General features: G+C 40.7%; 1 protein-coding gene across 14 annotated transcripts in view, besides 2 other annotated features; it reads left to right on the top strand.

Annotated features, from left to right (window-relative positions):
• Nucleotides 1-27,967, top strand: part of ELMO1 (engulfment and cell motility 1) — a 596,421-nt gene that overhangs the window by 380,245 nt on the left and 188,209 nt on the right. The gene's annotated exons all lie outside the window — the stretch shown is intronic.
• Nucleotides 2,684-3,003: an enhancer, noted in NCBI's record as "active region_25851". NCBI's record gives its function as "activates an Ori minimal core promoter by ATAC-STARR-seq in GM12878 lymphoblastoid cells {active_cell/tissue: GM12878}" and the evidence as "EXISTENCE:reporter gene assay evidence [ECO:0000049][PMID:35858748]".
• Nucleotides 3,364-3,473: an enhancer, noted in NCBI's record as "active region_25850". NCBI's record gives its function as "activates an Ori minimal core promoter by ATAC-STARR-seq in GM12878 lymphoblastoid cells {active_cell/tissue: GM12878}" and the evidence as "EXISTENCE:reporter gene assay evidence [ECO:0000049][PMID:35858748]".

Raw genomic sequence — 27,967 nt, 5'->3', positions numbered from 1 at the left:
TAGAGGAATGAAGGAGTGTCCTACTGTCAGGATAGAACCCTGACTCTTACACGGAGAGATGAGGCATTTGGAGACATGTGACCATCATTTCAAAATGAGGTCATTAACACTTTTATATTTCACATGTAGAATTGTCACTTAAATTCAAACTGCTGTTTTATAATTATTTTGTATTAGCCACCTTTATATTTAAGATTTATAGCCTTCAATAATTTGGGGGACCATCTCATGACCTAGGAGTCGGGCTCATTACTATGTAATGTTTGCTTGTGGGGCCCAGACCTCCTAAAGGGGATTTCTGTAGGAATCCCTCAAGCTGTCTGTGCTTTAGTGAGCACCACTATCTCCCCTTTTGTAAACCAGCATGAACACTCCTTAGTTTCATTATATCATTATATTGGGTAATGAACCAACTGTAGTTCTCTCTACTCTCTCAGTTATATAAGTCTGAGACATTGCATGTTAATTTCTGAGTTACCTGTATCCTAAATGTTTTGTTCTTTTATGAAATTGATTTTCTTATTTGTGTTTTACTGAGGCATATGCTAAAATTCATCTGCCTTAACAGAGTGGGCCTCATAGTTATACTAGCAAGTGCAATAAGAAGAGATGGGGTTATGTCCTGGGAATTAATGTTGACAATAAGTGTCATATACATTGGCCACTGTCAACTGTGACCTCATCACATCTTAATGGTCACAAATATTCTATTACTAAGAATAGGTAAAGTGCCAAAGGGTACAGGTGGTTTCCTAGAGCGGGTTCAAGAATATCTCTTTAACGTCACTCTCACTTGCTAACTTACTGTACTTTCCTGAGACAGGGAGACTGGGATAGAGTTTCACCCGGACAGCTGGGAACTGCTTTACTGCACAACCCATCTCATGTTACCACAGCCTTCATTTAGGGCCTGCCTGGGGAAGGGATGAGGCATGTGAACTTTCCCATGTGTCAAAGTGGAACACGTGACCCACAGTCAGTTCCACTTGAGAGCAGTAGACCTGTGCCCAGGCCATCTGTGCCTATTACCTGTTGGTCTTCTCCATTCTCTTAGCCCAGTATTTGGTCTCTAATGTTCAAATGCAAATGTTCTGAGTACCTCCATAATACTGAATTTTGGATTCTCATAACCCCAAGCAGAGTTCGAACTGTTTTATTTATGAGTGAGAATAGCTCGCCTAGAGTTTATATTTCAACTCATCCTTCTGAGATTTGTCAGTGACTCCAGTCCGAGAAGAGCCTTCAAGAACACATTTATTAGCCACATGAGTTCTTTCAAAGAAGCTTTTTTTTTAAACCTTTATGGTGTTAATAACAGGAAAATTCTGTCTTTTCAAAAAAAAAAGAAAGATTATGTGAGTTTCAAGCTGTTGCAGACTAACAATTTCTATTTCTAGTTTGTTAATTTTATAATTCTAAAGTTAATAGAGATAACTTAGAAACAAGGTTGTTTTAATGTTTTAAATGTCTGAAATCATTTCTGAAATTATCTCTCTCGACATCTTTTCCTTAAACAAGGCTCCGCTTCTTTTCCTGATGATGAAACAGATGACTGTACATAGTAGAATAATTAGAAAAGGAAGTATGGGAAGAAAATAAATATCTGTACATAATACAATAATTAGAATATGAAGTATAAGAAGAAAATACTTTGCATTTCTGTCGCTCTTTGTTGCACATACGTTTAGATATTTTGTTCATCGCTGTACCCTGCTGACCAACAGACCTGAAAAGTAGTGAGATGCTCAGCACATATGTGTGGACTGGATACTTTTTTCCATGTTGATTTCTTACTTTCTTTTCAATTGATGGGGCACCTTAGCACCATGTGATCAGAATGTTTACTCTCAAAGCATCATGTCTGTAGATGAATGCTTGGGTTGCGTGCCACCCTCAGTAATCAGTGGCATCTATAAATTTAAACCTTTACCTAAAAATGAATGGATGAGTTTCTGGAGAATACATGGATTCTGATTTTTATGAGATCTTCTTTAAATTCTGACAAAGTTTGTCTCATAAATTCAGTCTGTAAAAAATATTTCCTGCCCCAAAAGTTTCCCAGATAGAGAATTTACTCCTAAGTCCTTTTGATGGGTATTGCTGTCTAATCAGTCAAAAATCTTGTAGGTTATTGTGACCCACTAGTTTTGCTTAGCTGGGTAATGCAAGTGGATTTCCAAGTATCAGAGCAGATGAAAACATAGTGCCCTCAGTTTCTGGATTTTTAAAATTAATTTTGTTCTACCCTAAAAATCATGCAAGCTCTTGAGTCCAATGTTCTCTTTATCAATAGCTCTTTTATTTTTTAATTGGCAAATAATAATTGTACATATTCATGGGGAACACAGTGATGTTTTGATATATACTAGGTATAGTGGTCAAATCAGGATAATTAGCATATCCATCATCTCAGTCATTTATCATTTCTTTGTGTTGGGAACATTCGATATCCTCCTTCCAACTTTTTGTAACTATATATTATTATTAACTATAGTCATCCTACGGTGGTATAGAACACTAGAACTCTTTGAGGCTCTTTGAGGCACAGAGGCCTACTGGCCTGTAGCCACAGTGCCTTCTTTGGAGAATGACCCCAGAAGGCCTGGGTACTGGGTACCAAGGGACAACCCAGTGGCCACAGCCAGGAAAGGGCCTGCATCTGTGCTTGGAGAATCACTTCGTGCTGAGAGAGATTCAGTTTTGCCTCATTCTTGCCATTGCCCTCAAATGGCTAAATACTAGATTCAGAGAAGTAAGGCTGTACACCCAGGCATAAGTGCTTGCATTAATGGACATGCCACACTCAGTGCCCTACAGTTTTGATTCCATCTCTTCCTCATGTGGTTGTGACTTACCTGGCTGGCAAGTTTATTCATCTGTTCTCACGCTGCTAATAGAGACATGCCCGAGACTGGGTAATTTATAAAGGAAAGAGGTCTAATTGACTCACAGTTCCACATGGCTGGGGAGGTCTCACAGTCATGGCTGAAGGTGAATGAGGAACAAAGTCATGTCTTACGTGGCAGCAGGCAAGAGAGCTTGTGCAAGGGAACTCCCATTTATAAAACCATCAGATCTTGTGAGACGTGTTCACTACCATGAGAACAGTATGAGGGCAGCTGCCCCATGATTCAGTTATCTCCACCTGGCCCTGCCTTTGACATGTGGGGATTATTACAGCTCAGAGTGAGATCTGGGTGGGGACACAGCCAAACCATATCAGTGAGTCACAGACATAACTTTTCAGATTGTTTCTTTTTCCCAGATTGCGTGAATGTTGTTAGGGCAGGCAGTGTCTCTATGCTTGTTTTGTTCCTCCAGTCCACTAGCACGAGCGTTTTCATTTTCAAAATAGATACATTCAGACAGAGAACCCTAAAAGAAAACCTATGCAGAGAAAATAAACTGGCACTTTTTTCCATGTGGGTTGGTACTAAAGTTATGAGATGAGTTAAGATTGTCTCAAGAGAATTTGGAGTGGGAAGAACAGAGGTCCAGCATGCAAACCCATGGAAGACCTTCATTTAAGGGCTTCTAGAGGAAGAGGAGGGTGACCACATGAAGGAGTGACTTGAGGGGGAAGGGCAGAACCAGAAGACATGGAGGTACCAGTGAATGCTGCTAAGAGTCAAGTTAGAAGAGGACTGAATTGTTTCCTGGAGGACACTGGAGTCCTTAGCTAGCGCAGTTCTCATGGAGGGATGGAAGGAGATGGAAGGCAGAGTAGATGTCAGGCCGGGGGTGATGGAGACACCTCTTTTCAAGATGGTAGCCACAGGTGGATGCATGCCTATAATCCCAGCTACTTGAGAGGCTGAGGTGCGAGGATCCCTTGAGCCCAGAAGTTCAAGACCAGCCTGGGCAACATAGAAGGAGTCCACCTCAAAAAAAAAAAGGGTGGGGGTAGCCATGAAGGGGAGTGAAGAGATAGGGCAATAGCTGTTTGGGGTGGGAGGTGGAGGTGTGTGTTAGAACCCTGGCTGGGTTTTCATTTTGTTTTTGTTCATGGTGGTGTTTGGGAGTGAGTTTTTGTAAAGATGAGAGACACTCCAACATAAATCACCAATGGACTAGAACCAATTATTTTCAGCAAGTTTGGTAGCCAGTCGTTAAACAGTGGGCAGCTCAGAATTGGCTATGGTGGGAATATTTACACTACAGAAACTGGCAAACACAACTAAGACCTTACCATCCCCACCAAAAGCTAGCTGTTAAACAGGTACTGCATACTGCTGAGCATATCTGAATACAGATAGACAGGATCCACTGTAGGCAGGAGAGACGTGCAGGAGAGAGAGGAGACACTGATGGAGCCTAGTCTCTGCAGATGGGGAAGGAGATAGGATCTGAGTACTTACGGGGAGATTGGCTTTTAAAAGCAGGAAGGGTTTTAATAGGGTAAGTAAGAAGGATAAGAGAGGAGAGAACCAAGATTCATAATAACAGTGATAATTATCAAGGCTAACATTTCTGAGTGCGTATTGTGTGCCAAACACTGTTCTGCAGGCTTTGCCCGTATTATTTCCTGTAACAGCTACACCACTGAGGCAGGTAGTGTCCTTGTGTCTTCATAGATGAGGAATCCGAGGCACAGAGGGTGAAGTAGTTAGCCCAAGGCCCACTGGCTGTCAAACCTTGGACCCAGGATTGGAACCTGATGATCTGATGCTCCAGCCCTCATACATAGTCCCTGCAGTTTCTACTGCATCGCAGAGGATATGCAGATCCCAGGGCAGGAGCTCCCTGGGACCCAAGCTCCATACCAATGGTTCAATTTTCTCTATGAAGGATGCAGCATCACCCTCCTAGCATGAGGGGAGTCAATGAGCAAGGTTTAAAGACAGTAGAAAATTTATGAAATGATGTTGTGCAGCATGTGAGAGCAGGATGTCTAGAGGAACACGAGAAAATGCCCAGGCAGTGTCAAGGGCCCAGGTGATGGTTTGGATCCTGACTGTAGTGAGGCCATCTGGTGGGACTGTGTTCTTGCAGACACTTCAGCTGCTCCATGTAGGCCCAGAGAAAGAAGCCCATGGAGCTCCTCTATAGTTAGGACTATGACAAGTGGATACGGCAGACGACCCAAGGATGAAAAAATTTAGGAATTTAGGCAATTTGGCAGAAAGAGCATGATTGTAATAATGGACCGTGGAATCTGCATGGGAGAAAGTGGTTGTGGTGGCAGGAGGGGGCTGGTTGAACTTGCGGTTTTGCCCCGGTTGAAGAACTACAGCAGTGGTACTTACTACTTAAGGAGGTAGGAGAGGAGGCAGTCTTCAAAAACTTGAGTGTTGCAATGTGCTGATTCTGGTGAACGTGCGTTTTCTCAATACTCTCAGCTCAAGGGTGACTGCGGAGGGAGATAGCGGAGGGGAATCGAGTGAAGGGTCATTGGAGATGAGGCCAAGGGTCATACAAGTGGATTTAAAAGCAACCCAGGATGATGGTAGAAGCTGTGATGAAGAGAAAGACTGTGATCATGGCTTGAAAACACTTACTATTAAATAATATGTCATTTGACTTCCATATCTATTGCTGATACTATAGGTAATGTTTATAGTTTAGTTCCAAAACTAATTTGTTGTATTCCTTAGGGAAGGAAAGCATATGCCTATCTTATAATTTTTTTTAACTTTGTTTAGTACTGACTGTAGGACCTTTTATTAGTTTTTATTTTGAAGATTTAGATTCCTTACTGAACCTGAAAATAAGTAGCAGCATAGTAAAGAAATCTTAATTGGGTGAATTTTCACCAGGATTTAGCTAGTCACCAAAAGCTGCTTATTGATTTAAAATACAACCTACAGCCCTCCTCAGGTAATACAGTCATACTTGGTCCAGGTGTAGACTTGGTCCAGGTGTGAGCATCCATTTGAATGACAATCACATAAGACTTGAAGCTTGGACTTTCACATAAGTTTCAGATTTCTGTCCCCTTTTCTCTGCTGGTCTTTTCATTGAATCCTAAGAGAACTGGCATTCAGAAGTAGTAGTAAGGTACACCACAGGTATGGTAGCTTATTTTCTTACCGGGAGGATTAAATAAATTCTCATCCTGGGCCTGCATGTGTAGGGGAGCTGTGTCTGTTATTCCCTCTCTGATGCCTCTGGAATGTCTAGGCTCCCACTTATTGGGCTGTCAGCTGGTCAGGTCATACCAGTTGAAGGAAACCTTTCTTTTCCTGGAAAGTAGCCTGCAGTGAGCTGCTCATGCAACTGTCTTTTCCTCTGGACCTCATCTTGAGGAGAACTTGCTACTCAGTTAATACAAAGTTCGACCTAACTGTGGTTTCCCTTGCTTAGGGGCAGTGTTTCCTCATGTTCTAAGTGGGATTAATTTTCATAACTTAATTTACCAGGTCCAGGAGGCAAGCTGCAGTTGCTATGGGAACGGTAACTGAATTTCCTGGCTTTTGTACATTTAACACATCAACAGTGACGCTAAAGTGACATAAGTATTTATCCCTTTCCCCACTTTCATTTCCTTTTCCCTTTGTAGATGGATTATTGTTGGGGAAAGGAGAAAGAGGATTTAATTTCACAGCCCAGTTTATCTGATTAGTGTGTCATAATATACACTCGGTGAGCTATTTTCATGGTAGTTACATGTCTAAAGGATGCACGTGTCTAAACCACTTCCCACCTTTGGTGCTGGTTTTGACAGGCTTTCTGACATCCCAGAGATCCACGTAAGAAATTTAGAGAGAAAAATGTTCATCCTCATAGCATTTATTGAACTTAACATGGCTTTATGTACTCTGGTAAGTGAATTGCAAATTTAGAATGCTGGGCTCATTCTCATTTCTTCTTAATCACCATGAGTCATTCCTTCACTAACATTGAAAGGCCTATCAGGTTAGATATCTATATACACACAGAGCGTGATTGTCAGAGAAATACTTGCACTGCATTTCTAGGCCACATAATCTTTAGCCTAACATTTGCATATTAATGCATAATTGTAAAACATTATGTAAATTATACATGGTGGTGAATATATTATCAAATCAAATGGCCTTTAGGGGTAATTACAGGATGCTGCTATGTCAACTAGGATGCTGCAGGTTGAATGCTGAACACTTCTCATAGGATGAAATATAACCCAGCCAGGGTTTATCTGTGTCCAAAGTCACGAGTTGCCTTTCAGTGTGACCCTCCATTTTTGTTAAATGAAGCACATTTGGGGTCACAGAATATTAGGAATGAAAAGGATAAAATCCTGAATGAAAAATATTAAAATGTGGAAACCTTTTAGGTTGGCAATTAATCTAAATATCGGAGTCATAGAGAAAACCCCATGAGTATTGATGCCATTCGGTGTATTTATTTCAGTATAATTTGTTTATTGTTCTTTTTTATTTTTAAATAATCCATGCTCGTTATAAAAGGCAGCAGACAGCATAGTCTCCTTAGGGTACCCCATTGCTAAATGACTTGATTCTTTTATTGGCTGCTTACGTGTCCCCTCCTTGAAGACCACTGGTTGATTTATCACTCTTCTCCACTAGTCCACCTCAATGTCTGTTTTGTATATGGTGGCCACAAAAGCATTGTGGACGGAAAAAAGGACGGGTGGGAGTGAGGGAGGAAAGAGATTGGGTCAGTAAGTGCTACCACCATGGGATTGAATTCTGGGGGCAACTCTAGTCACTTTGTTCCACTATTCGTTAGGCCTGCTGTATTCTTTGTTTCAATAAAGCTTCTCTCTAGAACGTGCCTTTTGCATTAAGGAGATCTCTACTTTGTGGCTGTATCCAGTGCTTTGAAGGAAGGCTAACTCTATGTAGAAACCCTTAGTTTTATACAGTAGGTGACAGACCAACTGGTCTCTAGGACCAGTTATGTCTGTTCCTTTCAAATCCCTTGTATCTTCAACACGAAGGAAAACTACCTTTTCTATTCTGCTAGATGTCCATGTAAAATGACGCCCCCCATCCCCATTAATCTGTTTCTGGTTCTCTGAGCACTCTGTTCTATCAGTGACAAATGAAGGTAAAACAGTTTATGCCAAAGCAAACCTAAGGTTGTGACAGGTATCATCTTTGCAAAACCAAAATATAAATGATAACCAAATTTGGGAAATCGAGAGTAGTCATTGACAGAAATAGTCATTCAGATGTGTACTTGGAAATCGGAATCTTAGTGTAGGAGCCTCTGTGGACAGAAACCTTCTGTGTCTCTGTCCTCCCCTCTCCCCTCTGTGCCTCCCTCCTCCCTAGCCCATCACCAAATTGGGCCAGAATCCAGTGACTTGGGACATTACCCCAAATTTTTGACAAATTAATTTATTTACTTAGTTTATAGTATAAATGAAATTTTGAAAAAGCCAATGACCTAATATTTTATGGGCAGTAAAACTCAAAGGAATTATTGACTGAAGTTTTAATGTTTTGGTCACTTGGGTTTTTTGTTATTTTTTATTTATTTATTTTTGGACTTTTAGGTTCAGAGGGTACATGTGCAGATTTGTTACATGGGTAAATTGCATTTTACTGGGACTTGGTGTACCAGTGTCACCCAGTTGGCATAGTATCCGATAGTTAGATTTCAACCCTTGCCACCCTCTCTTCCCTCCTAGTAGTTCTCAGTGTCTGTTATTCTCCTCTTTGTGTCCTTGTGTACCCAGCGTTTAGCTCCCACTTATAAGTGAGAATATGCAGTATTTAGTTTTGTCTTCCTGGGTTAATTCACTCAGGATACCGGCCTCCAGCTGCATCCATGTTGCTGCAAAGGACATGATTTCATTCTTTTATATGGCTGTGTAGTATTCCATGGTGTATATGTTTGGTCTATCGTTTAAAATTCCGTACACCCATTTCCAACTGAAAAGAAAAGAACTGTGCCTCATTAAAAGACAAGTCTTCACTTTCTCAGGGCCAAGGCTGGAATTACATGATTAAACTTTCACTTTGCCTCTTGCTGGTTCTGTGACACCTGACAAGTTACTTAATTTAGGTTCTCTTTATGAAAGCATGGGTAATAATTCTTACCTCATGGGACTGTTATGAAGGTCAGTGTGATCACAGATATGAAAGTCCCTAACAAAGGGCCTAATCCATAGTAGGTGCCCAATCCACATATTTCCTTGTAGGTATCTTGTTTCCATCCTCTTCCTGAGGTGGTATCACAGAAAACTCTAAAAGTGATATTGTCAGAAATAAACGCCAACAGGTGGCCCATGTGTAGTTCTGTGCCTGCCCCTGGGCAAGTCATTTATTTATCATCCCTTTCGCTTTTCACATTTCCAGCTCTGAGTGGTAATTTGGAGCCATTGGGATCTAATGAGAAAATGAAAGGCATTGTTACCATTATTGCTCTGGTGCCATGAGGTCTCTGGTGGGAACATTTGAGAGAGGAAGACAATAATAAAGAAAAAAGAAACCTCCCTAGAATTCAGCTGTACTGTCTGGGGCCTCCTGCACATGACTTCAAAGCCACATTTCCTTAAGTGGCCATTAAAGTCTGAATCTCCTTCCCAGCTAAAAATAATTTCAAATGATTAACATAACAGTGAATGATTTTTGGCTCTGTGAGATATTATTGATGGCAGTTCATACTGAAAAGCAGTGAAACACAGAAATGGCTTCTGTCACACAATGAAAGAGGAAAAATATAACAATAGTCCATAAAATAGTTTCTACTATGCTATACTAGAAGATTGACGCACATAATATTAGTTTTCAGCAAGGATAAGTTATCTGATTTTTATGATGTTCCCATAAAAAGCTGACACATTGGCCCTAAGCTTGCATTCCTGCCTTGAAATAATTTTAATCTTCCACTCTTGACAAGCACTGCAAAGGGCTGTGACTTGCTGGAACCCTGTTCCACAGAGCATCTGTCTGTAAAAGCCCCCACTGGAGTGATATTTTCCCTGGTGGATCAGAATTGGCTCCCTTGGGTTTATTTAAAATACTCATCAATATGGGAAATATATTGGAGTGAATATAAAGGAGCCATCTCAGGGTAGTTCACTGAGCTTTGGAAAATATTCCAGCATGAAACTCTCATCTGAGACTCTAACCACAGGGAGACCTTTCCTTGCCTCAGGTGGCCCGAGTGGGACATCCTGAGCCAATGGGATGCCTCGTGTGTGGCGATACTGTGCCTAATGGGTATAGACCCTTCCCCAGCATCCCCCTTGGTCATTTCTTGGGTGTCCCCATGAAAGGAAGAAACCCACAATGGGTTCCAGAAATCTCTGAGAAATCCTTTTTGGGTATGGATGATATCACACTGCTAACTAAAGATTTTCGGAACATTTCACAATCTTTGAGGAGTCCTTTAACCAAGTACTCTCAGATGAGGATATGGGCCATGTGGAATCAGGGCCAGTTGGTTTCCTAGAAGTGTCTTCTAGGCTTCCTTGGTCCTAGAGTATCCCCAGGGCTTCCTGCATTGAGATTCTCCGGAGGAAAGGTCATATCACACTCCCACAGAAGGAATGGAGCCCTCATAGAACCTTCAAAAGGTGTGCATTTACTCTCATGCAGACACAGAATCATTTCGCGTCAGTACCTCCAGTCAGTCTGATGAAAGCCTGGACAGATTCCCTCCTTTTCCTCACTCTCTTCTCTGCCCACTTCTGGTTGGCATGTCCCCCACCCCAGTGCAGCAGGAAAGTGAAGGGACAGGTTAGGTGAAGAGAGCAAGAGAGAGAGAGGTTGGTGCATGGCCTCTTGCCTTTTAGGTTTTTTAAGTGAATTTAAAAATCTACAATGAAAATATCATAAGCTAGCTAAAAAATCTCTCCTACGAGGGTGGGATTTTTTAAATTTTGCACCTCTGTTGCTGTGACTTGAGTGAAACATCCCAGAGAAGATGACTTTACATTTATATGAAACCAGCCCACAGAATCAAAAACAGTGAGAAGGAGAAGGGACCTTAGCATTGATAGAGTCGAAGGAACTCTAGACTGAAGACCTTGCTAGCCTGGAGTGGAGTTTCACTGTTCAGTAGCCAGTCATATGTACACTGTGTGTGAGTGTACATGCATGCACTTACCTCTGTGCACACATGTGTGTGCCTGTGTAAAGTTGCCCTTTGTCTTTTCTTCGTAGCACTGAAGGAATAACCTTTTTCTGTAACCAAGTCCTGCCAAGTTCTTTAGGGTTAATAACATCTTGCTCTTTATTAAATGGTGGTAATGGTATAAGAATTTTCAAATGGTGTTAGCTGACACAATAGGAAGTTGGTAATATTATGGCAATACACAAATGTAACAGAAAATGTTTTCTGGTCTGAAAATAGAGATCATTAACTCAGTGAACTGCCAGTACTCCCCTCCTCTAAACCCAATTTTTAGATGAAGCTTGGAAATGTGAAGAGAAGTGTTCTCACTAATCAACCCAGAGGTCAATTCATGGTGGGCATGTGCGTGTGTGTGTGTGCACATGCACACATCTGCGTTGAAAAGGACAAACTAGCTTCTCCTCTACTAATGATGCTCTGAATTTGCTGGGCTAAGGTGGTGTTACTGAAGTGGATAAAGCTTCTGTATCTTGGGGACATCTGAATGAAGGAGTAATGAAGGCCTTGTAAAGAACAAAGCTCATGAAAGCATGAAAGAAGCTCTTGTGTAGATTATTTCATGAGAACCTGATGGCTTAAGGAGAACTTGATGTCACTTCAAAATCATTTTCCCATTTTCTACCTGGAGTGAGAGGTGGTAGGACACATCTACCCCACAAAGGGCAGGCTGTGCCTTCTGGTGATCACTAAGGGAGTCAGTCTTCTAACACTTCATTCTCTTTAATCCTATAAAGTTAGACATATTCCTAAATGGTTCTTAGTTTTTTTTTTCAAAACACATGACAACTGTGTACCACAATATCATTGATTTTAACATCTTATATCAGAGTCAGGGTGTAAAGCCCGCCACAAATGTATTAAAGGAAAAAATAATGTAAAACCTGCGATTGGTAATATAATTTCCCACAAAATGATTAGAATTTATTTCTGTCTGGTTACATGTTTGTTTTCATTTATTTAACAATTATGTGTTAAGCCCCCTCTTCCTCATCTTTTCTATATTATACCTAACCTACTAAAAATATAATACAGATATTTTTGAGTACTTATCTTGTGTTGGACATTTTTGATAAGAATTTTTACATTAATTATTTAATACTGAAGCCATCCTATGAAATAGATACTATCTTCATTTCCATTTGACAGATGAGAGAACCTATTCAGAGGTGCAGTAACTGGCCCAAGATGCCCCAGCTGAAAGTGGACCAAATCAGAGCTGGAACTCAGGACTCTGACCACCAAATCCCCCAGTGGGCTCCCCTGTTCTTGCCCTGAGTATGTCATTGTATTTCTCCCCCTGCCCTCCCCACCATCACATGCACACTCACACAAGGATGAAATAGGCTGTTTGGATGATAGACGTTTCCATCTGTTGGTGCCAGGGCACCTTTCCTCTAAGCGTTCAAAGGGATCCTGCCCTTGGTGCCTTTCAGCCTGCTTTTCAAGTCAAATCTGTTTGCTTGGAAACAACCAGAGGAAGACTATGCTTCTTTAATTTTCCATGTCATCCTTTTCCTCTTCAAAAACTGATGGATTAAATAAACTCAGTTTGTGGTAGGGATATCCTGTCCTCTTTTCTGACAGTCACCGACACTGCATCCTAATGGAGCATGATCTGGTTTAAGCTTGTTCCTGGGAGCTCTGCTTTGTCTAAGCCAAGAGGTTGCAGTAGGAATTCTAAAGGATGGTGCTCCAAGAATTATTTATCTCGTTGTGAACTGACATGTGAAAAGCTGACCCTGCCTGGTGCCCCTGTCAAGAAAGTCACTTAAAAGAAACTGCAACTGTTGTTGCTTTTTAATCACTGCATTTCTTCCCTCTTGGGTACACAACCTTGTAAAGAACTGGCTAGGGATCTATAGTCAATAAAAATAGCTTGTGTTTATAAATCACCTTTTCCCCAAAGTGTGAGAACGACTCAACAAATTTTACTAGAACTAAAATCTTCTTGAAATATTATTGAGGAAAGCTGGACCACTGTAAATTGTAAATTCTTTCTGGGTAGGATTCTGCCTTTACATTTCTCTTGTTCTTCTTAAAGCACCAAATGTTTCTGAATGTCTTGTGATTAATTGGTTCCTAATTAAAGTTAAGTTGAATGCTAAATCTTAATGAATTATATGGAATAAAACATGAAAATTTAGGGCTGCCCTTACAGCCGAGACTACAGATAGGACAATCTCCCTTAGAAAGATTGTGGCTGCCCACTGTACCTGGATGGTGTAACTCCAGGGTGCGTGGCTGACAGGGACAGTGAGGATGATGGTGCCCACTAGAATTGGCACCACTCAACTGGATGCAGTGGTCCAGTTGTGGGTACTGCAGGACCCAAGGCTTAACACAGATGTGGTGAGCATGTGTGTTGCCTAGAAGCCTTTTACCCTCAGAATTCAGGGAGACAAAATAAAACGAATGAGAGATTTCCACCCGCAGGAGGGCTGGAGCTAACATCCTCTTGAACATTGACTCACAAGCTGATTGGGGCAGATCCTGCAAAAAGTGACCACATTTCATTGGCTCTTGGGAGGATATTTGGGCAGGTGAATGTGGAAGGGGTTAGGTAGCTTGACTGCTACAACTTTGATTCTAGATTTACACACATACTTGAAAGTCTGAAGTTTGCATAATTATGGACCCAGGAGTCTTTGTTTGTCTCCTGCTGTAGTCTTAATTGCCAAAAGATGAAGCATTTGAGGTTCACAAAGGGAAATCAGCCTGCCCAAATCCACAGGACTCCTAAGTTGTTAGAGATGGCATTCACCCAAATCTTTAAAGCGTATGTTCTTCACTGTATATTCTGTTGCTTCTAGTCTGGACAGTGTCTTTTCTATAGATGCCTCAGCTCTTTGTTTCTTGTTGTCATTTCTGTATCTGCATCCACTGGTCACAGAAGCCATGTGCACACATTCATTTTAATGTCCAGTGTTTATGTTGCAGGATGAGTCACAACCGCTTTTTGACATGGCTGAAGGGAGACGTGGATGTAGTGGGAAAGCTAAATGATAAGCTTTTTAGAAATGTGTTCCCTGGGTGATGGAATATGCTCAGTGCTATTGTTTTTAAGCAGTAGCATTCCTGCTAGGACAAGAAATGCAATACATATGCTAATATGTTCATGAATGGTTGGAAAGATGTTTGAATCAAAGAAGCTTGTCTGTTTCACATTTACAGCCAATGGAAAATGAAATTTTTATAACAGGTTTTCAATGAAGTTGGGAGAGGTGCCAGAAACTGGAGATTGCTACATAGTAGTGCCTTCCTCTGAATTACTGTAGGCATGCATGCTATCTACAAGGGGTTGGATAAAATGGCTGCCAGCTTTTTTGAAACCCAAAGATTCTCTAAAATACTACATGAAATAGACAGATCTCTCATATACATTGAGTGTAGTATGAATAAACAGAAGTTTTTAAATTTACCTTGAATTGTGATTATACAAAATGATAAAAATTTTCACATTTTTCTCAAGATTTCCTTAAAATATTTAATGAAACATTAGTACATTTCACCTATTATTACTAACCCCAAAGCAAAATGGCCCCTTGAAACTGTATTTCTTTATGATAGATAACACACACTACCTTCTTCCTTGCAGTGCCGTTCTTATGCTCATAACCAATCTCCCATTCTTCCAAGATCTTTGAAAATACAGGCCATGTCTTATGCATCTTCTTGGTAGGCTGTTAGTTAGTGTATGCTAAGGGGCTGAGGGTGAATGTCATCATTATCACAGTCTTTAAAAGTAGATTCTGAAACTTGCCACTGACATTTTTAAATGGATTTTGGAAAAGACTAGGTTTTGATGATTAAAAGAGAAAGTAACAAATACTGGGAGCCATTTTAGGTATACTAAATTTAATTTCTACCAAAAATAAATTTTTTATGTCATAAATATTAAATTACACAGGTATCCTAAATATAGTGTATCTTGGATTTAGCTTAAGGACATGTTTACAGATTTCTGAGAATCATTTCCCTGGAGGAAGCATGAGTCTACCCTTAGCTGCGTATTTTTTAAAGATTTGAATCCATAATCTGAATAAAGGAATGCAAACTATACATTCAGACTTTTTAGGATACCCCAAACCAAGAGGAGTATTTATTTCATAATTAAAGATTTTTTAATGTTCTAGTAGACTGAAACCATGGGACAAATATCAAGATTTGTTTAATTTGATATAATTCTGTAGACTTATATCAAATAAAACATATCAAATTCTATAGACTTAATCAATTGCACATTGCATACATGTAGAACTGAGGAGACTTTGATCAATAACCCGAGGAGAAAGGACTTAAGCATTTTTGTTGACAACCCTGTCAATCTAAGCCATGGTAAATGACTGCTAAGTAAAACCAGTGCAGTATCCGGCTACACTCACAAAAATATAGTTTCCAGATCCAAGGAGGGAGTTAATAGTCCCGTGATAAATATACTTGCCTCAGATAATATCTGGAATATTAGGAATCATTCTGGGGCACAAGAACACATCCAGAAGAAGGTAATGATGTCTGGAAGCAACAGTCGATGAAATGGGGTATGATTAGCCTTGAGTAGGGAAGTTTAAGAGGAAACACATGAACTCTCTTCAAGTATTTCAATAATCATCAAGTGAAAAGATATTTGACTTACTGCATATAACTCTAGAAGATAAATCAGGACCAATGTTTGGAATTGTTAGGAAACCAGACAATAGTCTTTTGTTGTTGTTGTTTTCTGTGTGTGTGTGTGTGTGTGTGTGTGTGTGTGTGTGTGTGTGTGTGTTTTAACAAATGAAAATGCCCTGCAAAGTTGTGGGGCACTTCTCTTGTGTAACCAAAATTACATGGCAGTCTTTCATGGACATTGCTATGATTCAAGTTAGAGTTTCCTTTTTGTCTTTTGATTTTTGGCCATGTGCATATGTACTAACTTCTCACAAAATAAATAACCTAAAGACTTTTTTAAATGTGTTTTGTCCATGTCTGGAAATGAATGCAGGTTCTTAGAGGAATAATCTGACAAAAGTACTTTCAGGGATATAAAAGCAGAGAACTGGATTCTTTCTGCCTGACACCCACCCAACCCCAAGACATCTGCTGAACATTCTGTAAATCACAGACACTGCTATCAGGCTTTCTTTATGGAAGAGACAGATTGCATCATTAGGGAGCCTCAGACAAACACGACCTGGGGGGTTGGTGCTCTCCTTGGTGCTGAACGGAGGCTGGGCCTTTGGGCTTCCTCCCAGGCTAAGGTTGGCCCTAACCTTATCCCTACCCTGCAGCAATTCAGGTTGCACCTCTTGCCTGTTTATCTGATAATTCTGCTGCCTTTGCTAATTCCAGCTGGTACCGTGACTACTTTGATTCCCCATTCAGTGACCTCTCTCTCAAGAAAGATGAGTTATGCAAGAGGTTTGAGATTTGGATAAGGAGCTGTGTGGCAGGTGAAACATCACATTCATAGGTCTATATTGACTTATTAAACAGTTGCGTCTTCTATAACTTCCAGAGTCGTCCCATGGTATACATTCATTGAATCTTAGTAGACTTAGATATGAAGGCAAATATTGGATATGGTGGGTTGCAGCCTGAGAAAGAGGGCCTTAAGGGTTCGATGAGAGCTCTGATAGAATAAATACAAAAATTGGAATTTTTAAATGTTTTTTATTTCTCTAATACATACAAAGCACTGTTCTTGATGGCTGGAGATAGCAGTTCTTTAAACTAACATGGCTTTGCATGAAATGAAATAGCTTTGAGTAAATGTCACCAAATGACAACAGGAATAACTTGACAACAAAAGCAGAGATCGGATGAACTTGGCCTGTCTGGAGTAGGCAGTCATATTCTCCTGATAAGAGGAGAACACTGCTGGGCTAGCAGGGAAAGGTGCTTCTGCCCTTCTGTGGGGTTTCAACAGACAGAAATTCACTGGTGTGAGCATTGCTTCCCAAGAGCCCAGGCAACTGGGATTGAGCGAAGTGAAAGCATCTTGGAGATCTCAGAATTAAAAGGAAGAAAAAGAGATGCTAAAGGAAATGAAAAACATGGATCATAAGGGAATGAAAGGTCTGAGAACCTCTGCTGTTTAATGACCTCTGCCCTACAGAGGGCAGCTTTCTTTGAATCCCATGAACAAATATGACAAAAAAAGTCTTCTGACCTGAGCCTCTGGTTTATCTAATTGTCCTAGAGAGAAGGATACAGCAGGCTCCCAAGAAGAAGCCACATTTGGGGCAGAGCAGCTCTGCACCTTTCACATATTTGCAGATTAGCTTTTATAAAAACCTGCACAGAAGACAAACCATTTAAGTTTCATAAATTATATAGCCAGATTTTAATAGCAAAATTCCTTGAGGAAAGGATTCATTTAAAGTAGCTAACTAGTTGTAATTTATAGAACAGTGTTACACCCAATTATGTAGTTAGTAAATGCTTTCCACAGTTCATGTGAGTTTGGTAGAAAGAGAGACAAAAAAAAAAACACCTTTAAGTATAAGGGTAAATAAAAACAAAGTTTCAGGAAACATAGCAAGTGAAACATTTAATCCTCAGAATTCATCAGGTGAGATTCTGTGATTAATATTTCACAGAAAGAACTTGGAAAGTGAAATAATTCATACTGTCTCATAATTTAAGCCAGTCTTTTAATATCTGGTCAAACTCAGGTTAAGATTTATTAGTCTTACAAAAATTATCCAAATTAGGAAGAGTCACTAAAGAAGCAGCCCATTTATTGAATAGTTTAAAACCTTTTTATCCTGAGTAAAATATTCTTCAGAGCTAAAGTGACCCAGTGTACATTTGCAAAGCTCTTATTATCATCTCACCCAACATGCATAAGAGGCCAAGTAGACACGGTTCATTTTTTATCACTTCTCATTTCTTCTAGCACTGCAGTTCTTTCCAAAGTTTTGATGCTACTTATATCTATTCTGAACAAAAACAATATCCAGTCATTTGTTTCACAGAATGGCTCAGATCAATTACTATGCATTTACCCAAAAAGGAAGGAAGCTGAACACGTCAAAGAAAGAATTCTTATGGGAAATACCATAGTTTATGACAGGGCATCCTGTCTGAAGCCCTTAGAATAAACCATGATGCCTTCCATATTTGTTATCTTCTGTGGTTAAATTGTCTCCTTGGATGGTCATTAGCCTTGGTTGGAGCAGACTAAATATTAGGAACAAATGTTTGACATGTCTTTCACTGAAGTGCAGATAAGGTTGTGATTAAAAAAAAAAAAACCTTTGAACTTGGCTTCTACATCTATCAAATAGGGTTTTTTTTTTTGGTAATTGTATGTATTTAAGGTGTACCACATGATGTTTTGAAATACATATACATAGTGAAATGATTTCTACAGTCAAGCCAGTTTGGCTTATTTCACATAGTTACCTTTTGTGTGTGTGTGTGTGTGTGTGTGTGTGTGTGTGTGTGTGTGTGTGTGTGTTCAGAGCACCTAAAATCTACTCTCTTAGCAAATTTCCAGCATACAATACAATACTATTGACAGTAGTCTCCATGCTGTTTTTTAGGTCCCCAGATTTGCGTGCACTCCCTTGCAGAGTTGTTGTAAGGCTTGTGCACCATAGCAGGGGAATGGCTAATTCTTGGTTTTCTTTCAAGGCTATGATTTGCACTATTAAGAAATAGAACTGGGGGCCAGGCATGGTGGCTCACGCCTATAATCCCAGCACTTTGGGAGGCCAAGGAATCCCAGTACTTGGGGAGGCCAAGGTGGGCGGATTACCTGAGCTCAGGAGTTCAAGATCAGCCTGGAAAACATGGCAAAACCCCATCTCTACTAGAAATATGAAAAATTAGCTGTGTGTGGTGGTGTGTTGTCCCAGCTACTTGGGAGGTTGGGGCACCAGAATTGCTTGAGCCTGGGAGGCGGAGTTTGCAGTGAGCCAAGGTTGCACCACTGCACTCTAACCTGGGCAACAGGGCAAGACTCTGTCTCAGAAAACAAACAAAAAAGGCTGGGCGCGGAGGCTCACACCTGTAATCCCAGCACTTTCAGAGGCTGAAGTGGGCAGATCACCTGAGGTCGGGAGTTCGAGACCAGCCTGACCAACATGGAGAAACCCTGTCTCTACTAAAAATACAAAAAAATTAGCCAGGCATGATGGCGCATGCCTGTAATCCCAGCTACTCAGGAGGCTGAGGCAGAATAATCGCTTGAACCTGGGAGTCGGAGGTTGTGGTGAGCCGAGATCATGCCATTGCACTCCAGTCTGGGCAACAAGAGCAAAACTCCATCTCAAAAAAAAAAAAAAAAAGAAACAAAACAAAACTGGGGAGTAAATTTTTATTTCTGCCAATCAGTTTTACAGCTCTCAAACACCTGGATATCATTTGCCTCTGGAAGTCTTCCACCTTCATAGGAAATCTGTGATGGACCCCTCTCCTCCTGAAGAAAGCCTACAGAGGGCAGCTTTCTTTGAATCCCATGAACGAATATGACAAAAAAAGGCTCTGACCTGAGCCTCTGGTTTATCTAGTTGTCCTAGAGAGAAGGATACAGCAGGCTCCCAAGAAGAAGCCACATTTGGGGCAGAGCAGCTCTGCACCTTTCACATTTTTGCCCATGGTTTCCTTTGGAAGGGAAAAGCTGAAATGCAAAAGGAGAAGAGAGCTGGACGCATCACATAGTTTTAATTGGTTTCGAAGGGTCACCAAGCAGAATCCTTTCTGTAGCAGAATAGCTTTTCCTTGGGAGCTGGTATGGTCAGAGAAGAATCCCGGCCCAAGAGCTGAACCAGGGGCCCTTTGGGGAAAGGGCCTGGGGAGTCCCAAAGCGGCACTGTCCCTGCTCGGTTGCAGGCAGTGACCCTCTCCCCACACCCGACTCAGTGCCAGCTGTGTCCTGAGTCCAAGGTGGTACATTAGGTGCTTAATGTTTATCCCTTAACAAGACAAACATTAACAGGGTGGTCGCTCTTAAAACATGGCCTTCCCATTCCAGTGGGAAGACAGAGAAAACAAGTTAAAAAGAAATTAAATAATTATAAATTCTACCAAGTTATGAATCAAAAAGAAAGCAAGGGCTTGCTTTCCCAGTGGGTCTCCCTCACCACGTCACTTCCCCTAAACTCATTGGGAATCGCCATTTCCATTCTGTTTTCATGTCTGTGAAAGAGATAAAAAGCTGCCCACATCAAGAAATGTAATTCAACCCCTTTCAGCAAATACAGGATATTCTGAGTCAACTGAACTTTAACTATCCAAATAGGTTACTGCAGGTACCTAGGCCCTGTTTTTAAGTCTTTTAAAGGACATTGGCTTTGTGATTTTGAGCTAAGGTAATACATAAGAAAACATCTTGAAAATGTTAAAGGAATCACTCTGAAGATTGTCTCATGAAACGTGTTTAAACAAGTGTTTAGGCTAAGTCTTTCCATGAGAACGCTCAAATATACATTGTTTACTTGTTTGGTTTATTTGCCCTGAATAAAATAAACGATCCATGTTTTCGCTTTAGAGTTGCCTGTGGGTTAGGTGGGGGAACAGATCTCAAAACAGAGGCTTCTACTCTCTGGTACCAAGGAGTCAGAGTCTTGTTCAGCATTTAAAGTCACAGAATAGTCATAATGATTATGCAAATGCACAGGAATCCTCTTTCATTTGCTGTCTTATGAAAGAATTGGAATCAGTTATATAATGTAACTGGTTGCCTTATTTTTTATAATTTAAGGGAATTTATTTTATAAGTGCGTAATTGGTAAAATAGATTTTTATGCTAGATTTTACTGTGTAAATTAGTGACTCTCAGTGAGTGTTGGTTTTGTGCCCCAGGGCACATTTGGCAGTGTCTGGAGACACTTTTGGTTGTCCCAACTTGTGGGGGTGCTACTGGCATTCAGTGGGGAGAGGCCAGGAATGCTGCTAAACACCCTTCAATGCACAGGACAAGCCTCCCTCTCAACAAAGAATTAACCAGCTCCAGACACTAATAGTACTGATGTTGAGAAACCCTAGCTTAAATCAATACTGTTTTGTTGTAAATTTCAAGATGTGAAGATTTAGTTCTACAAGGCAAACCAATGATTTATGATAAGAGTGGAATGATTTTTCAGATAAACCATGATTGTAAATATTTAAGGTACTGACATATTCTAATCAAAGAAAGCAGGGTTTTTTTAATTTTAAAATACGTTTTTTCAAAAAAAAAACTGTCACAATTTTTTTTACTAGGAAAATTGGGAAAGAGAAAACTAGTCTGTACTGTATGAATTCTTTCCTGGAGATACTTATCTGATAGGCTCAACTGAATGCACAAAGATCTCTTGCTGACAAAGAGATAATTTATGTACTAAAAATTATATACTTTATTTAGGGAAAAGCCTTTCCAATGCATACACAGTCTGTTTAGCCACAATTCAGACACGTTTGTAGTGACAAGCCATGGTTACGCTTTATGGCATTTAACTAGAATAAGCCCAACGACCCAGTCAGGAAAAGAGGTGGCAACTGTGTTGCAGCCAGAATTTCCTTACTCAAAAAGATCTGGAATGTTAATGTATTGATTCTATGGGGAACAGGTGACGCTGGAGTAGCTGAACCTGCCCTGCTGGGCATTAGTCCTCCCTTACATATCTCTCGTGCTTGTAAGCCGAAATGAGCCCAGCCTTAACTGGGGCCAAGGTGTCATGTCAGTCCAGTTTTGAACCTGAATCCACTGTTGTGGTCAGCCCAGCTGTCTTGCTTAGGTGTTTTAAAGCAAACACCAGCTATAGAGAGAGAAGGAAAGGCAGAGACAGGAAGGAACACCGATTAATGAGCTATTTCTGATTTAACAAGCTATTCTGTTAAATTGGCCTATAAAATGAAATGCCAGGTCATTTGTATTCAACAAACTTGTATTACAGACAAAGTGCTATAGGGTGGGGACAGAAAGGTGAGCCAGCCATAGCTCTATGCCTGTAGACATTCATTTTGGTTCAGCTCTTTCTCTTTCTCCTTTACAAGTTAAATAAGCAACAACAGTGACTACCTAAGACCAACTATGACATCTTTCTAAAAAGTATAATATTTGGAAAATTGTGATCCTAAATCATAATTTTCTTATCAGTGAATCTGGCTTGTAAACATAGAGGGAAAATTTCTATTTCATTAGCAAGCACATAGTGAGTTGTTCCAGTGTCTCCCAGTGCCTTTCACAAGCTTGAAAAGGATTTGAAAACCCCTTTGTTCTTTGTACTGGAATCACTTAGCATTCCCAGGTTCCCTTAAGAAAAAATCAGAAGGTGAATTTGTGTTAGCTGTTATTTTGCTCCAGAAACTCCCTTGATCTTTCAAAGATGCCCCTTCTTGACCTAAGAAAATCTGATGCAAGATACACATTGTGGCCTTCCCCTTGATCCCTCCATGAGTTTCAGAGAATTAAGATTAACGGCAGACATTTCCTTCATTCTTTGATTTGTCTCATACTTTGATTTCTTTTTGTTTTGTTTTGTTTTCATCATTCTCATTCCCGTGTTTGATTCACCAATGATTGCAAAATATCAAAATATAAAATGTAAACTGCTGGTCTAAAGAAAGAAAGCATACTGGGGTTCTTTCTTTGGCCAACTCAAAGCCTGAAAAGTAGCTCCAAGTGGGTCAGTTCCACACTGTCGTTCTTTTACAGGAAGACCACTGGGCAGAGGCCTGGGCTTTTTTTCTCATTACTGAGGACTAGTATCTTGGGATTCCTTATGAGCAAAATGATGCTTGATGTTTCTGGCAGTGTCATCTGAGATGTTCTGACTTACTTATATGTGTAGAAAAGCAGTTTCTCTCTTTCAGAGGCCAGCCCTGAGTTAGTCTATTGAAATTGTGCATAATAATTACTGGATAGTTATACATATTCTCTATAATTTTAAAAGGAGTCAAGAAAAAATTTGTTATAGGCAACAGTGAAAGATCAACTGACTCTTTCTTGGCTTATTTATATTCAGGAAGCAGGAAGATTGTGTGTAGGTAAAGGTGGATATGGTGATTATAAACTTAGGATTGATTTAGATTTTGGCAAGTTGCTTCTGTGGGCTTAATCCATTCAAGCCTGCCTCCCATGAGACAGCCTGGGCTCAAGGGCCAGCTGGGTGGAGGAGCAATCACGGGATTTGCAGGAAGCAGACAGCTCTGCCTACCTAGGAAGGCTATCCTTCGCCTCTCAGAGCCTATGAGATAGGGATAATTCTAAACCTCATAGTGGTTGTTATCTAGATAATGTGTGGTAAGCTGTGGGGAAATGCTTTGTTAACTCTGAAGCATTGCATGAAAGATACTTTCCATCATAGAAATATAGACTGTTTCATAATCCTAGACTATTTTAGGGAATCTGGGAAAAGGAAGATGTATTTAACTATTTTCCTTTTCTCTTAATTCCTTTGTGGAATGAGGCACTGCATAAATATATATTTTTTTAAAAAACCTCTTCTTCCTCCCAAGTTCAAATAAGTGGTATTTTTACTTCCTCTCTACTAAAATTTAGTAGAGAAAAGAGGAAAGAGAAGTTGCTGCTGAGCAAAAGAAGTGAGCAAAGGAGAAACATTTTTAGAAAGTTTTTGAACTATTGTGATTTGGGAGAAAAAGAGAAGTTTTTTAAAATAATAATAACATGCCATATAAGTTCTGGGCAACAGGCAGATAATGCAAATCCTCAGAATCTTATACCACTAAAAGGTTTTTTAGTGAAAGTTTGTTTTTCAGTCCAGTTCAAGAAAAACACAAAGAGAGCACACTGAGTTCCCATGTCCCCTGCATCATTTCTCCTGTTATTAACATCTTACAGCAGTGTATTATATTCATTACCATTAGTAATAGTAATAGTAGCTGAAGTCCATACATTATTCAGATATCCTTAGTTTTTATCTGATGTCCTTTTTGTATTCCAGGATTCCACCCACAATACCACATTGCATTTGGTCATTGATTTCTATTCCAGGTGGTCTGGATTCAGTCTTTACTGGTAGTATGCGTCTGTGTGTAAAAGTAGTTACTCTTTCTAAGGGTCTCTATTGACGATGCTAGTAAAGCATTCATAGCTTCATACCGGCGTAGTAATATTAACCTCCATCCCAGAGCTTAGCTGTATAGCCACTTTATCTAAGCAAAACATAGGCAACACCTAGCGTGGAAATTAAAAAATAAATAGCCCACAGCAGCCACAGCAAGTGACAGCACATAGCTGCTAACATTACTTCTCTAATTCATACTTTATTAAAGAAGGGAAGACTAGGGAAGGGGAGGACTTGAGGATGGAAGCCAAACAAACATCCAGGCTTGGATGTTACATTTGAGATTTCTGTGAGACATGAGAATGCAGATAGTTGGAACCATGCATCTCGCTGCAGAAAGAGGGAGGAGCCAGGAGACTGGGTAAGAGTTCATCACCCAGAGAGTGAGAACAGGTGTTGGAGCAAAGACCAGCAGACTGACCTCCAGGTTTGGACATTAAGAATAGGAGGGGGAGACAGTGAAGCAGGCACCCATCATAGGGAGAGCTGAGAGAGAGTGCCGTCCACATGGGGAGGGCTGGTCACCACCTCAAACACCGTGTTGGGCGAGTGAGATGGTGACTTACCAGGCACCCCTGGATTTGGTAATGTGGAGATGGTGGGAAAGCTACAGCTGCCTCATTTTTAACTGAAGACAATAATAGTGCAGACCTAGAATGTTGTGAGTATTAGTATATAACACATGTGAAGTACTTAGTGCAGGAAGTGTACACTCACATTAGCTTTTTTAATGGGATACAGTTTACAGATGACTTTCATGTGGGTTGGCTGCTCTGAGTCTTCCATGTGATCTGAAAGAGAGGAGTGGCCATTACAATCATAGTCCCTGCTGACTAGTAAGGACCCTCACCCTCTGGCTGTGACAGAGTTGTCAATCCATCCCTCATTGAGCATTTTCACACCTAGCCGGAGCATAGCCTTTTTGCTGTATTTTGTTTTGTACAAAAATAAAAACAAACCTGTTTGTTGTAATAGTTTTTTAAAATGAGTGGGCTCTAGAGCTTTTCCCTTATAAATAAACATCTCATGCTTCACCCTCCTCCTCGTTGAGTCTGTCTGACATGTATAAAAAAGACTACTTCATTATTTCAAGTCTTGGGGAATGGAGATGGCATCACCATTATAAAGAGACAGAGGAACTTGGCTCATGAACCTGAGGACCCCCGAGTTCTTGATCTAAAGCAGGCAGCAAAGGACGCCTGAGTTCTTGATCTAAAGCAGGCAGCAAAGCTAGCCTTTGGCCCCAGTTCCTTGTGTGCTGGGCTCCCTGCTCTGTGTGACTGTCTTGCTGCCACAAGTTCCAAACTCTCGTTGGTCTCCATCCTGCCTGCACATTAGATTCACCGGGAACCTTTCGGATAATGTTCATGTTCTGGCTCACACTCTGATTTTCTGATTTAATTCGTCTGGGATAGGCCCAGACATTAGTATATCATTGTAATGAAGTTTATTGAGATATAATTTACACATAGTAGAATTTCCCCTTTTGAGTACAGTTCTCTGCATTTTGACATGCGCGTAGGCATCCATTCATACGGCCGACTCCACAGTCAAGATCTGACCATTTGCATCACTCCAAAACCTCCTGTGTGGCCGCTTTGCCATCCTTTCCCCCAACACCTGGCCCTGGCAGCCACTCCTCTGCTTTCTGGGGCACCACTAATTCTTAAATGCAGGTGATTTTTAATATGCAACTGAGTACAGCTGCCTGGCAGCCTTTAATAAGATGCTTGGGGCACAGGGACGAGAACTGCTGGACTCAGTTAACACAGTACAGGATCATCCATCAGATGATCTTAGACTTAGGCTTTCTTATGGCTTTTAGCTGAGACAAGACAGTTCTATTGCCCACTCTTGCTGCTGTTGTTTCTTTATTTAGTGGTAATTGGAAGGGAGAAGGGACTGGAGTGAGAGGAGGCTCCCGGCATTGTCTGCGGAGAGCAGGCCTCCTGAACCTGCCACAGTGAACACTGTGAGGGCACCAGATATGTATGCAGCCATTTTTTAGGTGACTGGCACTGTTCCCAGCAATGTGGACACGATAATGAACTACATATACAGCTCAAATGGGGCTTGCTTCAAGTGCATGGAGATAGGCAATGAACAAATAAACATACATGCAAAGAAGAAAATATCATGTATCAGAAAATGTGATGCGCAGAACTGAATCCAAGTGATATTCCAGAGTGTGGGGGCTAGTTTAGATTGTGAGTGGCCCAGGAGAGCTTCTCTGAAGAGGTTACATTGACGCTGAGACTTGAATGTTACAAAGAAAGCAGCCATGAGGAGTTAGTGAATATTCCAGGCCAAGGGAACAGCCAGTGTAAAGGCTTTACAGTTGGAAATGAGGCTCATGGGCATTAGAACATAAAGAACGATGTTCTCAGGATGTTCAGGATGTCTCAGATTTTGGAAGTGAACGTCTGGTCACTAATGACCCATTTCTACTGTCTTCTGATAGAGCCTGCATCTTTTCCATACATATTCCCAGTCCCTACCTGGAATTACAGCTGACCGGGCCCAAAGACATTCAGCTGTAACTGTGGCATCACTCACAGGGCAGTTGAGCAACTCTGTTTTGGGCTGATGGGCTCCTGCAGATTAGCACAGGAAAGAAAGAAATCAGAATTCAACTAAGAGAAATCAGTGCCTACCAGCAGCAGTAGGGTTAATATGGAAATATTTAATTCATCACTACAATGTGCCCCATACAAACTGGGTTTAAAAAAAAACCATGGCTCTGAATATTCCTTTACAGTGAAATGTAAAATTATGAAACTCAAATTCCCAGTGCATATGTAACACTCACTCTTTCTTTCTCTCTCTTCTTTTTTTTTTTTTTTTCAAAAGTCAGAAAAACAGAGTCTCACTCAAACAGCCAAAGTTGGAGTTGGAGTGCAGTGGTGGGATGGTTTTTGTATTTTTTTTTTTTTTCGTAGAGACGGGGTTTTTCCATGTGCCCAGGTTGGTCTCAAACTCCTGAGCTCAAGTGATCCACCTGCCACAGCCTCCCAAAGTGCTGGGATTACAGGTGTGAGCCACCATGCCCGGCCATGTAACTCTCTTTAACAAAATAGGGCTGTCAAGAATACACTAAAACAATTACATATATCGTGAAATGTAAATGATGAATCTCTCTACTTTTGAAAGTGTAATTAGCGACAAGTGTTTCATCAACATAGAAAATAAGGTCAAGAAAACCCGTGTCCACTTTGGTGCAACTCAGTGAATGAGAAAGGGTGCCGTCGCAGGGCTCACAGCCAGTGTTCCTGGGGTGGGGGTTGCTTTTCTGCCACGTTAACTCATGTGTTCTTGTTGGCAAGGTCACCACCGAGCACAGCTTGATCCTCATATCTTCATTCTCCTTTCTTCTGCCAGTATTTCAGGGGCTGTGACTTCAATTTAAATTTATGCATTTATTTTACACGTATGTGATAAACTCATCCTTTTTGTCTCTGGTGATACTTTTCAAACAGTGTCTCCCCGCTTCCTTGCTCCCCACTTCCTCACTCTGTCTGTGAATTTCTGGGAGATGTTGGACTAGTGAAAAAAAATACAAAAACACTCACTCCTGATAAACGTGTGTGTCTTTCCTTTGGCACACATAGACCACTGCTGCAATCCCAACTCGGGGCCACAGTAGATCAGTGAGGTGGGCCAAGACCTTCCAGTTTGAAATAGACCTTGTATATTTCAGGGTCCTCTAGTCTGTCCATGATGAATAAGGCTTTATGTTGTTCAGGTTATGGCTATAAAATGACAAATGATCACATTAATCTTTGTGTTATTCCTTTCCCCTAAGGACATTATAGGGACAGCCAAGGTCAGTGCAACAATGTAGCACGAGAGTCGTTTTTCCCTCTTTCCTATAGAGAGTATTGACATTACCTATTGCATATGCCCCTCTTTTCTCTGATCTCAACTTCCTACTCCCATATAGC

Source organism: Homo sapiens, chromosome 7 (assembly GCF_000001405.40).
Source record: "Homo sapiens chromosome 7, GRCh38.p14 Primary Assembly".
NCBI lineage: Eukaryota > Metazoa > Chordata > Mammalia > Primates > Hominidae > Homo > Homo sapiens.
The sequence above is the reverse complement of the archived record's forward strand: the minus strand, read 5'-3'. Positions and strand labels throughout refer to the sequence as shown.